This window comes from Homo sapiens, chromosome 15 (genome assembly GCF_000001405.40).
Source record: "Homo sapiens chromosome 15, GRCh38.p14 Primary Assembly".
Lineage (NCBI taxonomy): Eukaryota > Metazoa > Chordata > Mammalia > Primates > Hominidae > Homo > Homo sapiens.
The window spans coordinates 27171139-27188481 of record NC_000015.10 but is presented as its reverse complement, the minus strand read 5'-3'; the positions used below and the strand labels follow the sequence as shown (position 1 = coordinate 27188481).

The window sequence follows — 17343 nt, the reverse complement described above, 5'->3', positions numbered from 1 at the left end:
ATCACTGGCCATCAGAGAAATGCAAATCAAAACCACAATGAGATATCATCTCACACCAGTTAGAATGGCAATCATGAAAAAGTCAGGAAACAACAGGTGCTGGAGAGTATGTGGAGAAATAGGAACATTTTACACTGTTGGTGGGACTGTAAACTAGTTCAACCATTGTGGAAGTCAGTGTGGCAATTCCTCAGGGATCTAGAACTAGAAATACCATTTGACCCAGCCATCCCATTACTGGGTATATACTCAAAGGACTATAAATCATGCTGCTATAAAGACACATGCACACGTATGTTTCTTGCAGCACTATTCACAAAAGCAAAGACTTGGAACCAACCCAAATGTCCAACAATGATAGACTGGATTAAGAAAATGTGGCACATATACACCATGGAATACTATGCAGCCATAAAAAATGATGAGTTCAGGTCCTTTGTAGGGACATGGATGAAATTGGAAATCATCATTCTCAGTAAACTGTCGCAAGAACAAAAAACCAAACACCGCATATTCTCGCTCATAGGTGGGAATTGAACAATGAGAACACATGGACACAGGAAGGGGAACATCACACTCTGGGGACTGTTGTGGGGTGGGGGGAGGGGGGAAGGATAGCATTGGGAGATATACCTAATGCTAGATGACGAGTTAGTGGGTGCAGCACACCAGCATGTCACATGTATACATATGTAACTAACCTGCACATTGTGCACATGTACCCTAAAACTTAAAAGTATAATAATAAAATAAAATAAAAAAAATTAACATTGAAGCTGAGAGCCAAATCAATAACACAATCCCATTTACAATAGCTACAAAAAGAATAAAATATCCAGGAATATAGCTAACTAGGGAAGTAATAGAGCTCTACAAGGAGAACAACAAAACGTTGATGAAAGAAATCAAAGATGATGCAAACAAATGGACAAACATCCCATGCTCATGGATTGGAAAAGTCAGTATCATTAAAATGGCCATACTGCTCAAAGTGATTTACATATTCAACACTATTCCTATCAAACTACCAATGCCATTTTCTTCACAGAATTAGATAAATAATTCTAAAATTCATATGGAATCAAAAAAGGGCCTGAATAGCCAAAGCAATCCTAAGCAAAAATCACATTACCCAACTTTAAACTATACTACAAGGCTACAGTAACCAAAATGCATGGTACTGGTATGAAAACAGACTCATAGACCCATAGAACAGAATACAGAACCAGAAATAAAGCTCCTCACCTACAACCATTTAATCTTCGACAAAGCCAACAATAAAAAGCAATGGAAAAAGGACTCTCTATTCAATAAATAATGCTGGGATAACTGGTCTGCCAGCCACATGCAGCAGATTGAAACTAGACCCCTATTTATCACCATATATAAAAATCAACTCAAGATGGATTAAAGACTTAAATGTAAGACCTCAAACTATAAAAATCCCAGAGGAAAACCTAGGAAATGCCCTTCTCAATATCAGTTGTGGCAAAGAATTGAATGGCTTAGTCCTCAAAAGCAATTGCAACAACAAAATAAAATTGACAAGTGAAACCTAATTAAAGACCTTCTGCACAGCAAGAGAAACTATCAAGGGAGTAAACAGACAACCTATGGAATGGGAAATCAACAAGCAAAAAACAAATAACCCCATTGAAAAATGGGCAAAGATTAAGAACACTTTGTAAAAGAAGACACCAAACGTGAAAAAATGCCCAACATCACTTGTAATCAAAGAAGTGCAAATCAAAACCACAATGAGATACTATCTCAGAACAATCAGAATGGCTTTTGTTAAAACGTCAGAAAATAAGAGATGTTGGCAAGGCTGCAGAGAAAAGGGAATATTGTTGGTGAAAATGTTAGTTCAGCCACTGTGAAGGGCAGTTTAGAGATTTCTCAAAGGACTAAAAACAGCAGAACTACCATTATACCCAGCAATCCCATTACTGGATATATACCCAAAGGAAACTAAATCATTCTACCAAAAAGACATACGATGCACCCACATGTTTATCACAGCACTATTCATGATAGCAATGACAGGGAGTCAACTTACATATCCATCAACACCTAGATTGGATAAAGAAAATGTGGTACATATATACCATATAATACTATGCAACCATAAAAAATAATGAAGTCATGTCCCTTGAACAACATGGATGCAGCTGGAGGCCATTATCCTAAGTGACCTAAGGCAGAAACAGAAAACCAAATACCACATGTTCTTACATATAAGTAAGAGGACGCATGGACATAAAGATGGGGTCAATAGACCCTGGGGACTACTCGAGGAAAGAGGGAGCAGGCCAAGATCTGAAAAGCTGTCTATTGGGTACTGTGCTCACTACCTGGGTGACAGATTGATTCATACTCCAACCCAGCATCACACAATATACCTTTGTTACCAACCTGCATATGTATCCCGATTCTACAATAAAATTTGAAAAAAAAAAAAAAAAAGATTTAAATACAACATTTAAAAGACAGATTTTAAAAACCTTGATGCAACTGCATATTGTTTATAAGAAATTCACATCAAATTCAACAGCATAGAATCTTCACAGTGTAAGTAGGTTGAAAGTAAAAGTATGAAAAAATATATAAAATTAATTTTAAGAAAAAGCAGTAGTGTCTATATTAGTATTTCATGAAGTAGACATCAGAGAAAAAAATTACTAGTGACACAAATGGACATTAAATAATGATAAAAAGATTATTCCACTAGGAAGACATAACAATCTCAAATATGTATGTACCAAACAAAAGCATCAAAATACATGAAGCAAAAACTAATAGGCCTGAAGAAGAAAGATACAAATTTATAGCTATCATTGAGAACATCAAAACCTTACTTAAGCAACTGACAGAACCATTAGACAGAAAATTATCAGGAACATTAATCTGACCTACTCAATCCACCAATGGAACCTAATTGACATATACCGAAAACTCTACCCAATAACATTGGAATCCACATTTTCTCCCAACATGTGTAAAATATTTACCAAGATATACCATATCCTGCAACATAAAATAAATCTCAAGAATTTTAAAGTAACTGAAAACACATGAAGGAAGTATGTTCTTTGACCATAACGAGTCAAAAGAGAAATAAAGAAGAGAAAGACAAAAGGGAAATATCCAAACACATGAAAATTAAATGACATACTTCAAAATAATCTATGGGTGAAGAACATATGTCAAAGGAAAAATTTTAAAAGTACACAGAACTGAATGAAAGTGAATATTTAACATATCAAAATATGTGGGATGCAGCTAAAGCATTGTTGAGAGAGAAATTCACAGCTGTAAAGGCTTATATTAGGAAAGAAGGTCTCAAATCAATAATTTAAATTATTATGTCAAGCAACATGAAAAAGAAGAGCAAAATAAACCTAAAGTCAGCAAAAGGAAGGAAATAATGAAAATAAGAACAAAAATTAATGAAACTGAAAATAGAAAACAATAGAGGAAAAATCAAGGAAACAAAATGCTGGTTCTTCAAATCAATGCAAACAATAAACATCTAACAAGAATGACAAAGGAAAAAAAAATAAGACGCAAATTGCCAAATATCAGGAGTGAACCACAGGATCTTGCTACACCTCTCGCAGCCATTAAAAGGATAATGGTGGTGACCATATAGAATATTACACTCAGAAATTTGCCAGTTAAAAAGAAGTGGACCAGTTCTTCAAAATCCACAAACTGCCAAAATTCAAACTACATTAAACACAACCTGTATGGTCCCATAACCATTAAATAAATTGGATCCATAATTTAAAAGCTTCCTTAAAATAAGTGTTTGAACTCAGATGGTTTCACTGGAGAACTCTACCAAACATTTCAAGATTTATTAACAACAACAATTTTATACAATTTCTTCCATTATTTGTGTTTGGTGCTTCCTTTAAAGTAAAAATTCTGCCTCCTCCACCAGAGCATAAGCTTCATGAGACCAATAACTATATCTATATTTTCAGTTGCCAGTGTAGAAGATGAGAATATGCCACCCCAAAATGTGCTGTTTTGGCATAAAGATTACTTTGAGCTGAAGGCAATCGAGAAGAATCCAGATACAGGAAAAACTCTCTGCCCTCTCCCTTTTTGCCTGAAAACAGGATGTAAATGTTCACAAATGTCCCAGTTACCCTTTCTGTCAGGGAGAGGAAAGGGTAGCCACTGAAAACAACTTGATATCCTTCTCAGCCTGGAGACAGCAGCAGAGGCACCTGCATGACAAACCTTCCTATCCTTGATCTATCATTAGTTTCCCATTTGTTTTTCCTTCCCATAATTTGCCTTCCCTAAAAATTCAAGGTCCTTTATCTTTGTCTTGTCACTTCGCTAAAACTTTATTGTTCATTGTGAAGATGTTATATAAGTTGGAGTTCTAAGCCACCTCAGTGAGAATGACTTGCTCCCTGGCTATCTCCCATGTGTATATGAAATACACGTTAATAAACTCCTGTTTGTTTTTCTCTTGTTAATGTCTTTTGTTACCCCAGGTAAGAGTTAATTACTCAGAATGGTAGAGGGAAAGTGCCTGGCACAGAGTTAGTGATGAATAAATGTGAGGTGATGAATAACCATGCATAGGAAAATCCCTCAGAGAACATCCTAGAGTACTATGTGCAAACATATGCATTTAAAACACATAGATTAAATATATATTAAATTTGTCTGATTAATACGCTTAAAATTGTTAACAGAGCTTGCCTGAAAGGAACGGAACAAGATTATGTGGATGAGTAACAGAGGGAAAAATTCCTCTTGCATAATACAACTCTCTGCTCTTTATACTTATTTTTAATTGGAAATGTATGCTTGTGCATTACTTCTGAAACTCCAATGTTTGTTTTTTAAAATAATTCGAAGAAGAATATAATGCATGCTTCAATAGGCAAACAGCCTTCAACAGTTTTTTAAGGTCCAGTGCTATTTCAATCACCTCTTCACCCCCTTCACAATAATACTTTTGTTAATTAAATGTGCAGTGTGGTGGATGAAATCATGGAGTCTGGATCCACGCTGCCTGGCTTTCAATCAGCTCCCGACGCAGCTGTGCAACCTCAGGCAGGCTACTCCATCACTCCTTCCCTCCCTTTTCGCTGCCATCAGCTCATGGCCAGGAGCTAAACATAAGCTGCAAAGCCAAGCCTAATGCTTTGTTTTGTTTTATTTTCTCCTTTCCAGTTGTTCTGTGGCCTAGGGAGAGTAAGATAGCTTTTTTATATTGTATTCAGATACACAACAACATGATCAGATACATATTAGAAAGAAAATAAAGCATGTTTGTCACACACTAACCTCTGGCTGATTATTTCGCTGCCTGTTCATAGGGAAAAAAAAATTGAAAAAAAAAGTCATCTGTAAAATAATATTTCACAAATTAGACATTAAGGATTTAAAGAAAACAACCACCTAAGGCTCTTCTCGCTAAAACGAATTGATCAGCTTCACTAAAAGCTAAAAATGATTCGTAAAAGCAGAAGTTTTATGTTCTTGCTATTGTTTTCGCTCTATTTGGCTTGATCTCACCCTCAGACGACATCCTCAGCTATCAAAGGATGATTTTGCAGGTTTCCCGTAAACACTGGTTTCCCATTAGCGGCCTGCACCAGCAGCAGCTCATCTCGGCCAAATGGACATCCTGTTCATTAGGTCATTGAGCCTCCACACAGCCTGGCCCCGAGCAGAAGCCCTTTCAATTCCCAGCAGTTGCAAATTCAGCGAGCGCACAGCACATCCAATGGAGCACTTGACTCCAGCACAAATCTCTTTGCTTGGCGGCCCTGTGGGGAGTGCTTTTCTGTGCACCAGCCTCTCAGCTAAGCACCCCCTCCCGTCATCTCATTCAACTCTCAGGACCACACTGGGCACAGAGAATCATTACCTCCATTTTATAGACCAGGAGCGGAAGCCCAGGGGTGTCCAATTCTAAAGTCACTGCTTTCACATGGCGGGTTCACATTCAAACACAGTCAGCTTGATTTCCTGCTACATGCTTTTAAACATCATTTACAAAAATCATACAGCCCAGCCAAACCTGTACAATCCATGGATGTAGCTGCCAAAGTCTTTAGTATTTGAGAGTAATTTCTTAGGTCCATGGCATTTTATCACCTGTAATTTTGAATAAATACCGTACACATTCGAATAACAACCTAACACGACGAGTGAGTAAGAGTGAATTACATAGGTCCCAGCCACCCCTGCTTCCCAGGCACCTGCCTGCATTTCAGCATAGAACATGTGGCCTAAAGGTCAGCTGCAGAAACTGTAGACGGTGACTTCCACCAGGGACTATCCCCAGAGCTGATGTGAAATTGATGTCTTGGAATCTGCATTTGTACTGGCTCCAGCACATCACTCTAACATCTGTGTCTACAATCAACTTTGTGGCTTTCTACTTACTACTAACACTCAATGGGGTTGCATTTTGTTTTCAGTTACATTCATATTATATTATTATAATATTATTATATTATATATTATATAGCATATCATAGTAGAAATTATATTATAGTAGAAATGCTATGTTACAGTGGTGTTTGGTAGTTTGAAGAATTCACAATGATTTCTCGTGTACAGAACTGGATGAGAAAGATTGCTAAGTATCTGGTAGAGTTTGACAGGAATAAAAAAAGCCCAGAAACATCTTAGCTATGACCTTATAATCTGAAAATGACCAGAACTCCTCACTTCTGAGCGTTGGGATCTTTTGTCCACTGCTGTTTTCCTACCATCACTCACAGGAATGCTTACATGCAGCAGCCACTTAAAGTGTGTATATTAAGTGGAGGAATAAGTATTTGCCATAGATATATAACAGAAAGAGAAACAACTGCTTCCACAAAGACGTGGGCAGGATGTACGAGTAGAGTCAGATGGCTTTGCATATAGCATAGAACAAATAGAGGGAGAAATTCATTCAGACAGAAATCTTCAAACCTGTTTTCCAGGCCCTAACATCAGCCTGATGCCCTAAGTATGGTGGCTCTGTGCAGCCACAAGTCTGTATTACAGCCTTCCCCATCTGCAGCATCCGCAGCCATTTGTATTAGGATAGAAATCTCATACAAATCTTCCCCCAAAACAAGAGTCTTGGTTGAGCCTCTACCAAATAAAGGTGTGCATGGGTAAGAGAACTAACTCTTGTTTTTCTCTCCCTGGTGGCAAATCTCTAGAATGAAGGACTTTGGGGTTTGATGAGAGACAGCCTGGGGAGTATTGATTCTAGATCCTCTGCAGACAATTACCCTACTGCCTGTGCTCGTGGGCAGCTAGCATTGGTCCTTCCCCGTGTAAAGTCTGCTTGCCACAAACTGCTCCTCCCCACAGGTGCCTGCATTCAATGCCTCCAGCCCTGCATGCTGGGAGCCACAGAGGTTTCATGGACACATATTTATTTATTCAAGGTCAGCCCTTCAACCCTTTAGGCCTTTACTGCCCTGTGCCATCTCATGAAGTTGTGAACTACGGCCCTCCTAAGAAGTCAGCACAATTCAGCAGCTGAACGTAACACCCAAAGCGAGAGGGGTTTTCAACCCTAAAATACTAAACTGGAACGATAATCCTGTGTTAGATTGGTTAGTCCAAGCCTCCAGCCTTAAGTAGACATAAGATAGACCTTTTCAGTGGCTACATGGGGTATATATGCTGATAGTGACAAAATGTGAGTGGATAAGAGCATTAGTCAGTGGATTTAGGGCCAGGAGGTATCAAGTAGAAATTAGTAAAATAATTAAAGAAAATAGGTTTCTGTTTTTCAATTATTGCTAGAACTGACCTGGGGTGCGCGCGCGTGCACACACAAACACACACAGACAGACACACACATGGCACAATGTGTAAGTTCACCTTAGAAACAGAATCTGAGTTGGGGTAAAGTTGAGTGAATCAGGATGACATGGTTAGAGCGATGAGTTGAACCTGAGGGTATACGTGGAGCAGGGTTTGTTGAGGGAAGCGCAGCAGTCGGTGCTTCGTGATGAATCTAGTGCAAGCATAGGGTAGGCAGAGAGTCCCGAGTGTGACAATGGATGCACAACGTGACCTCAGGATGCAAATGCACTGCCTCAAAGCACATGGCAGTCATAACCTGAAGAATTCTACAGTTGCTCTTCTTGTTCAATCTCATTTTTTTTTCCTTTCACTCAAGCCATTTGCCCGTTTACTCTAGTTGCTATTGTGACCAGAATGTACATCTACTCCCTCTTCTACATCAGTGGTTTACAAACTTTATTTAGACCGTGCTAAGGTCCTTCAGAAAAAGTGTGTGTTCATTATGGGCAGGCTCAATTTATGTATCTCACCCCCCGGGCCTGGACAACTTCTTTGTGAGCTCTGTGATTGGTAAAACAAGTGCAACGAGCCCCACAGTCTCCTGGGGAAGGCCAAGACTCACAGAGATGTTCGATCAGGCAGTGGCTCTGCAGAAGGCCATTTAGCCACTTCCATGTAACCATGAGTGTGCAAAATGTACCGCCAGAGAGAAGTGCTGCAGCTCTTCAGAGCCACGCCCAGCCTCATCTAGGAGGCGATGAACTGTGAATCAAGAGAACAATCTGGTAACAGGGCACAAACATTCAGCTTATTTTATGCACACAAGGCCTAAGAGGACCCCACTGTCTCTCTTCTACGCAGCTCTCCTCCCTTTAATCATTATAGTTTTCTTTTCCAAAGACCCGGTGCATCTTTGGCTTCCATCTTTCCCACAGCATTCAAAATTCACACCATGAAAAGACACAGAACAGATGGCAACAAATAGAGAATCAAACAAAACTTCTGAAGATACAAGATGAATGGACCCCCGGCAGGACAACAGGACTCGAGGGTTCTGTGCATCTTTGTAGTCTGGAAATGAGTGAATTCTGAACAATTTGAAACTGGAAACTGCTCACTTGGGTAGTTCTTGCTTAAAGTTTTCATACTCTACCAATGGGGAAAATGATAAATTTCTCAGAGCCAGACCAAGCATAAAGCCAGCGAAATTGTATCACAAAAATCAGGGGAAGATTTTATGCAAACAAGGTAAATAAGCAATTACAAAACTGAGGGCATCATTATCAACAAAAATGGAAAAAGCACAACGTACCTTATTTTGAATGTGGCTAATGTGCTATTCTCACGGACACATATGATAAAGTGCATTGGCCACATGTGGGAAATTGTTACAGCTGCTCCTGAGGGGAAGGTGGATTGCCACGCGGGGCATGTTTGAAATGGCAAATCACGGCAATGCATTGATGATAGGAGTAAGCAATATTTCTGATACAGGCATTGATTAGAATTTCTGAAGAGGATTTTCATAATTTCTGACTTGTAAGCTTCCATGAGTTTTCTTTGTTTATTTGTTTTATTGGGGATAGAAAACTATAACCCAAAATGAAGGCCCCAAAAAGAAAAGTTTTCCTCTGACCTTCTCCTGCTCTCCTCTCAGTCCCATTCTCCTCTGAGGCTGCCATAGAAACAAGAATCCCTCTTCCCCAAGGCAGGTCATAGAAACCAGAACCTGTTTTCCTACAAAGCCAGCCATAAACCCTAAAAAGTATTACGTACCACTCCCTCTGCCCTATCTGTGTAAAACCTGGCCCATAAAGACATTATCTGCCCTACTTTGTTTGACTGTAGGTCATCAGACCCCCATTCTAGAGAGGGGCCTGCCTCATACCCAGAAAAGAGGAATATGTTTTCAGAGAACCCAAGAAGAATCTAGACCGATATGCCTTGCTGTATTTTCCCACTCAGTCTATGACCATTAGATCACACCCTTTTTGTTTAATCATATTTCTACACAACTGTCCATATTTTGTTGAAACTAATTATAAAAACAGACAATCTCCCCCGTGTCTCTGGGTCTTCAGTCTGAAGGTTATTGTATATACATGTTAAATAAATGTGTATGTCTTTTCTCCTATTAACCTTCCTTTTGTGAACCGACTTTTCAGCAAACCTTCGGAGAGCCAAAGAGAAAGCTCTTCCTTGGCCCCGTACAGTTCATTTACCAAGAGCAAGTATTAAATGAGTGAATAATACTTATCACGTTTGGAGAACCTGTGATATGCCAAGCATGGCTTTCCAGGATTTGTTTAAGCTAATCTTTTCAGCATCCTTGCAGAGTTTTTGTCAAGAGATTGAAATGCACATCACAGTTGTTAAGGAGCATCCCACAACTAGTGAACTGCAAAAACTAGTCAGACAACCAGGTAGGTGTGACTCACACAACCAAACCATCAACTCTTTCCACACAATACTCCATTAGCCCAAGAGTTAATAACTTGGATACAGTTGACAAAAATTCTCTTCTTGACCAAACTTTAGTCAGGCTCCTGAACCTTTTCCCCAACAAGGCCCACCTGTGCACATCCCTGTGCAATCCAGTATTGACAAGAATCCTCCATCTGGGTATCTGACCCCCCTCAATACCTGATTGAGCTTCCCACCCACCATCCCCCAGGAGATGTCTTATCACCCTGGTCTGCTTCCGGCAAGAGTCCTGTTAGGTGAGTTTAGGCAGGATCTCCCTTCCCCTTGATGTTTCTTCTTAGTAATTTTTCCATCCTCTGACCACCACTGTGCTCATTGGCTACAAATTCCTACTTGCCCATGCTGTGTCCAGAGTTGAGCCCAGTTCTATTCTGAGGCTTCTTTTCCCTTACTGCAATAGTCCAAAACAAAATCTGTTTTTATTGCTTTCACCACTGCCCAGCTCTGGTTTTCTTTGACTCAGTCTCTGAGGCTATTTTGCTACCTTATTTAAAATCAAACAGTTGAAATTGTCTTTGTAAAAATTATAACAGCAAGAGAAATCAAACTCAGTTAACTCCATCTTGCTTCTAACCTCACAAGATAACTGCCCTTGTTCATTCCTGAGCATAGGCCAAACTAACTATGAGAGGAATTTAGTTTATAACTTAACTTTGAAGCAAGAATGATAACAGTCCCTTCCCAAAACTGACCCCCTCTGGGGGCTAAAACCACCTTTGTAAGACTAACAAAAGGCCAAAGTTAGGATCATGGGGCTTGAATACTGCTAAAATATAGGCATAGTAAAATGATAAGCTGCTTGCTATTCTATAATTGCTTACCACTCAAGAGTCATGTAGCTGGAGGTCACAAGATTTTTAGCTGCCCCAGTTGCTCCTTTAGATAACAACACTATCGTAAAACCTAAGACTGGTTTTGAGATATTTCTCAGACTTTTGCATTGTGGCAACCAACTGACTTCCCCTGGACCTGTAACTCATACCAAGGATCTGACTCAACCAGTCCTATAAGCTGCTGCCCAAGAAATTGACTCAGCACACAAAGACAGTGTTGCCACTCCTGTGACTTCATCCCCACCAAATCAGCAGTACCTATTCTCTAGCCCCCTGCACATCAAGTTATCCTTAAAAACCCTAGCCTCTGAGTTCTCGGGGAGAATGATTATAAAAATATCTCTTGTCCTCCCACTAAATAGCCTTGCAATAATTAAACTCTTTCTCTCTATTGCAACACTGCTGTCTCAGTGTATTGGCTTTTCTATGCAGTGGGCAAGAAACTGTCGGGTGGTTAGACAGTGAGTTCAGCATCTCATCTCTAGCATTTTCCAAGCTCTCTTTCCAGCACATAATAGTAAACGCAGGTAGCTGGGCTGCCCATCCCCAGCTCCCTCAGCTCCCCACCCTATGGCATGCCCTAAGTCTTTTTTGACTCTAGATACTTCCTTCAAAAGCCCCCATGCCAGCCTCTATCAATGCTACTGTCCTGTGATGCCTGGCTAGGGCAAGGGTAACAAAGCCCAGGACCTTCATGCAAGTTCTAGAACTTGGACCTTCTGGTCACCTCTTCTGGGCAGCCTTCCTGACTTTCTAAGGCAGAGTCAATCACTAGAGATGTTTAAAGTGACAACTGTTATTCTTAGCACAGGATCACTCATGCCTTTACTTGCAGTTCCTTATACTCCATAACTGCTGGTACTCCTCATGTTTTATTATCATGATTCATTAACACTTGTGTCTCCTTGAAAGTAGAGTCCTAAGCTTAAGATCCTTTGGCATAACCTAGAACAACACTAAGCTATTCAGTAAACACTGGTTCAGAAAATGAGTGGTTAGAAAAGAAATACTATTACTTTTATTGAACTCAGCGTTTTGGTGCTAATAAGCACAATAGCCCCTACAGCACTCAACTTGCACTAGTGCTTTGTGGGAGCATGGATTTAGAAAGAGGTGGAACTCTTAAAATAAAGGCATAAAAAGGGATGAGTGGTTTAAGTTAGCATGGGAAATGCTGAAGGCTAGCTCTTTGAGAAATTCACATTACACATTAGCATAGTAAAAGCTGTGTGGTCTCTTAAAGTTAAAAAAAGGAACTGGTTTAATTTTCATTAGCATTCAAATGTGAGCTATAGAATGCATTTTTGGCTTGTTTTCTTTTTTCTTTCTTTTTTTTTTTTTTCCCAGCATACTGTTTACATAGGCCAGAATCCCAGCTTGATGCCCTATGCCTTTTTAAAGCAAAGTAGCTGATCTGACTCTCTAAGCCTTTTCTGGTGCATAATTTGCCCCAGGCCTGCTGCCCAGGCCTCTCTGAGGAGGCTCAGCAGGCTGATCAGAGGAAGGAACAATGTCTCTTTTCCTTCACTGTAACCAGCACTTACAGGTGAACTAGAATGTTTAAAGCAACAACTAAATTATTCTTAGCACAAAAGTCAGAATGCATGGTACAGGGAAAAGAATGCAGGCATCTGCTCTCCAGGGCAATCTCAAGGGATGTCTGGAGTACTGTGGGCCCATTTGCCATGCTTCCTACCATTTACCATTTGCTTTGTTTTATCGTCTCCACTGGGAATGCCAGTAATGTCCCCGTGAGAGCCTCATGTCTAGCTCTTGTCTAATCAGACTGCTTTTAGTTAAAGACATTATTAGTGGGCAATGGAATCAGGGTGGCTGCAGTGTTTCTGAATTTTTCCAAATTCTTACTGCAAGTCAAACAGATTAACAGGATAACCTGGAAAACCTATGGATGATATATTTAGAAACAAGCAAACAAAGAAGTATCAGGAAACCCCCTGCTCCCGCAAATACTGGCAGTGTGGCCATAGCACTTACTTCAGTGAGCCCTGCAAGGGGTTAGCACCAAGGTGTCAGGGCTGTGGATGATGCAAGGGACACCTGAGCCCCACAGGCTGTCCACAAACACATACCCCCTAAACCAGGGGCAATAAGACAGCATGTGGTGACAAGGCTGGGGGAGTCCTGCAGGCTCCACATTGCAGGTGGAGGTAGGACCTTCCTCGAGCAGGGCAGAAGCCCTGGGGTAAGGGAGACAGCCAGTGCCCTGGGTGGGAGGGGTGCACAGGAAGCACATGCCAGGGAGACCTCACAACAGCAAAACCCACCATCCCCAGAAGAAGGTCCCCTGGAAGGCCGAGAGACACAGGATTAGGGGCCAATCTTGGTCCTGATTGGTTTTAAACAATATGTATTTCCTAGCTCAGAGCAATGGAAGGTTCTAGAAACTGTGACGACCTAACAGCAATGCCCACGTGTCCATGTGCCGATGCCCAAGGTGTCAGATGGTATTTTCTAAATGCCATTCCCCTCTGAGAGGGGCAGAGTCCCTTTTAGAGGATCAACCTATTCTAGGGCTTGGTAAAGAAATGTACAGAAATGCTGGGACAGCATGTGATGCCCAAGGACCACTAAGGAGAGGTCAAAAGTCATGAAAGCCAACTTGCAGGGGCTTCCGTTAGCCAAAGATAGGACAATCTGAGAATCATATAGAGTAATGATGGTATCTGATTAAAATGCATTGAAAACATAAGGACCTACAAGTTTATAATGAGAGTCAACAAGATGTGAGAGTGAGAGAGAGAGAGAGAGAGAGAGAGAGAGAGAGACGAGAGAGAGAGGCAGTCACTGGTCCACACTGGAGATAACTAGGGCACTACCCACTCAGCAAATATAAAGGGAGAGATTTCAGCATTTATCCTCCCTTTCCTGTACAATAGGCTTTCTGGGAGAACCAAATAGTTCTAACTGATGAGGGAAAGCTGCTTTGTACCAAAGGATTCTGGCTATTAAAAGAGGAAAAAATGGCCTGTGATGAGTTACAACATATGAAATGCAGAAAATGTGGGGAATAGAACAAGTTAAATGATACCATGAGAAAGCAAGCAGACAAATCTTTTGAACAAATCAATGCTTGAGAATCAAGGACATGTCTCAAAAGACATGTGGGTATCACCAAATGCACTGGACAGTCTGATACTAATTTAAACAAAGCAACCACACAATGGTGTTTGGAGATGGGCTGGGTAAGACATGATGCCAGAGAAATGCTGCTAATTGTGTTGGTAGTAAAATAACATTGCCATTCGTTTTTTTTTAAGTCCGTATTTTTTAGCAATGAATTCTCAAGTATGTAGGAGCAAAATGATAAGAGGCCTGGGTTTGCATTAAAATATTTCACCATCAAAAATATCAAAAGGTGCAAAAACATCTTGATAGCTATCAAATCAGATGATAGGTAAACAGAGTTTTATTATACTGTTTTCTTTGATGTTGTAGGTATTTAAACATTTTATCTTCTTTTTTTATTTTCAGAGACAGTCTCACTCTGCTGCCCAGGATGGAGTACAGTATCATGATCACAGATCACTGTAACTTCTAATTCTTGGGCTCAACTGATGCTCCTGCCTCAGCCTCCTGAGTCGATGGTACTACAGGTGCAAGCCACCATGCCACACTAATGTTTAATTTTTTTTTTTTTTTTTTTTGGCAGCGATAGTATCTTGCTCTGTTGCCCAGGCTTCTCCTGAACTCTTTTCCAGTGATCCTCCTGCTTTGGCCTCTCAAAGCACTGGGATTACAGACATGAGGCACCATGCCTGGTCTAAATGTTTCATAACAAAATTTTCTTACAAGTGTTACGGTAAGGGAAAAGTACTCCAAATATACATATTTATAATTAGGTTCAGGTGAAAAGAAAACTCTTAAAATATTTTGGAGCGAGGAATGCTGTTCAGAATCTCTCTCTCTTTCTCAATAAAACTAAATCAACCCATATCCAGATGGCTTAGAATCATTAACCAAGGAGGAGGTATAATGGGTATGTAAGTTTGAGTTACTTTCTCAGTGCTGCAGCCCTGTTAGGATGCAATAGTTCTTTGCTGTACTGCTAACGGGACTCTAATTGCATACATTTCTCTGCAACTATAAAGTAGATCACATCCAGAACATTTTGAAATAAATTAGGTAGGTAAAATACAACAGGAAGGAAGACCTGACAGATCAACTTTAGAGCTAGAAAATGATTCTAGACTTTTAGAATGGAGTGTTAAGATGCACTGTCACAGGAGATGAATCTAACCATTTGATGTGATGTAGACCTCCTAATCCCAGAGTGAAGTTTGCAGGAAGGAGGAATGTTTGTTTAAGTGCATTCACAGATGAATGAGTGGAATTCAGGCCACCCAAATGACGCAGGGTACAAATTGCTGCTGGCGGCCTCATTTGTGTGGTTCACTCAGGGTAGCTGTTCTCAGACCCACTAATTAATCCTGGATCACAGTTGGCCCGAGAGGAATGAGCTCCCTCCTTCCAGGTGAACAGACCTGGACGATGACGCTGTCTATGGAGTGGGGGCCCTTCTCAAAAGTTGAGAATACCAAGAATAACCCTGGATACCTGGAAGGGCAGGAAGGCATCTGCCCTGGGTAACCGGGTCTGCAGTCATATTTAACTTGACTAAAAGGGATTCAGTGGCCACTTCTGGCTCACTGTGGACTAAGGTTTCAAGTGCATGTTGGCCGTTATGTATTAACTACCTGGACACTGCAGGAGGCGATGACCAGGTCTTTTCCTGCAGCTAGAAGAGAGAGGAGACCAGGTAATGATGTTCTGAGTGCCGAACAGCCAGTGGAAGTGGGCAGCAGAGTGTCGCAGAGGAGTTTAATTTGCAAAAGTGCAGTATGCAAATTTGAGGATAAACAATCCCATTCACAAACGTCAAGTGAAGGGCTCAGAGCCAAGGGAGAAAGAAAGGGTGGTGGCGGGAGTTGGGGGTGGGGTCAGCGTAGAGCCCAGTCCTGACAATCCCCAGAGGAACTCTAGAGCCAAGAAAGCCACTAAGTGACAAGCACACTAAGAACTAAGGAGCCTTCCAAGATTTCAAAAGGGCTACTCCAAGGACCTGTGCAAAGCTTCACTTATCATAACACTTCCTTCCATGCACCTGTCCACACTGTCCTAGCCCCGTCATATCACATTTTTGCTCCACGTATACACTCTTCTCCTTTGAGCACTGCTGTGGGTTGAATGTCCTGTCAAAACTCATGTTGAAATTTAACTCCCATTGTAATGGTATTAAGAGGCATGGCTTTTAAGAGGTTATCAGGCAAATGGATTCATGCCATGATCATGGAACAGGTCAGTTATCACAAGAGCGAGCTCCTGATTAAAGTAAGTTTGGCCCCGTTTTTCTGTCTTTCGTGCTTATTCGGCATGTGACACCTTCCACCTCGGGAGGACTCTCACCAGATGCCAGCACCATGCTCTTGGACTTTCCAGCCTCCAAAAACCAAAAGCCAAATAGACAGCTTTTCTTTATAAATTACCCAGTCTGCATATTCTATTACAGTCGTAGAAAATTAGGTAAGACAGACACCTTGGAAGCTAAAATCTCCTTTATTCATAGTTCCTCACTGCACATAGAAAGGCAGTGCCTGGCTCAAGCAGGCACCACACATATGTATCTTGGTTGGCCTAAGAATTAGGTAACATCTCTAAGAATATATACACATACTAGACAGAAACAGACAAAAGCTATGGTGTCAGGTAGCAAGAAAAGGAATATATTTTTCTTTCTATTATGTTCCTAATTGTTGGTATAGCATCTCTCTCTCTCTATATATATATATACATATACATATATATACATGTGTATACATCTGTATATGTATATATATATATATATGTTAGACATGCACACACACACAATTTGGGGAGAAAAGTGATAGCATGGCATATGTCTTGGGAACTTCCAAGTGACTCAATGTAGTGACTCAATGAGGGCATCTATGTACGACAACGTTCCTTTATTTCTAGCTTTTACATTGGTAGGCCAGGGGAAATAAAAACATAATTTTCATTTACTACTAAGAGACAAGGTGAAATAAAGTGAAAGGATTCCATGATTAAAAATTTGATGCAGATATTCAAAGCTATAATTCATTTCTTAACTAGGGGCCTGGATTCTACAAGCCTGATGTTTTATTAGTCCTACTAGGTGTACAGACTATATTTTAGCAGAAACATTTGATGCCCAGGCTTTCACCCCACCCCC

At 40.6% G+C, this 17343-nt stretch overlaps 1 protein-coding gene across 2 annotated transcripts in view, besides 1 other annotated feature; it reads right to left on the bottom strand.

Annotated features, from left to right (window-relative positions):
- The window catches only part of GABRG3 (gamma-aminobutyric acid type A receptor subunit gamma3), a 570804-nt gene that overhangs the window by 353503 nt on the left and 199958 nt on the right, over positions 1-17343 (bottom strand). The gene's annotated exons all lie outside the window — the stretch shown is intronic.
- Positions 11046-11340: a silencer, noted in NCBI's record as "tiled region #5301; HepG2 Repressive non-DNase unmatched - State 24:Quies". NCBI's record gives its function as "represses a minimal TATA promoter and a strong SV40 promoter by Sharpr-MPRA in HepG2 cells {active_cell/tissue: HepG2}" and the evidence as "EXISTENCE:reporter gene assay evidence [ECO:0000049][PMID:27701403]".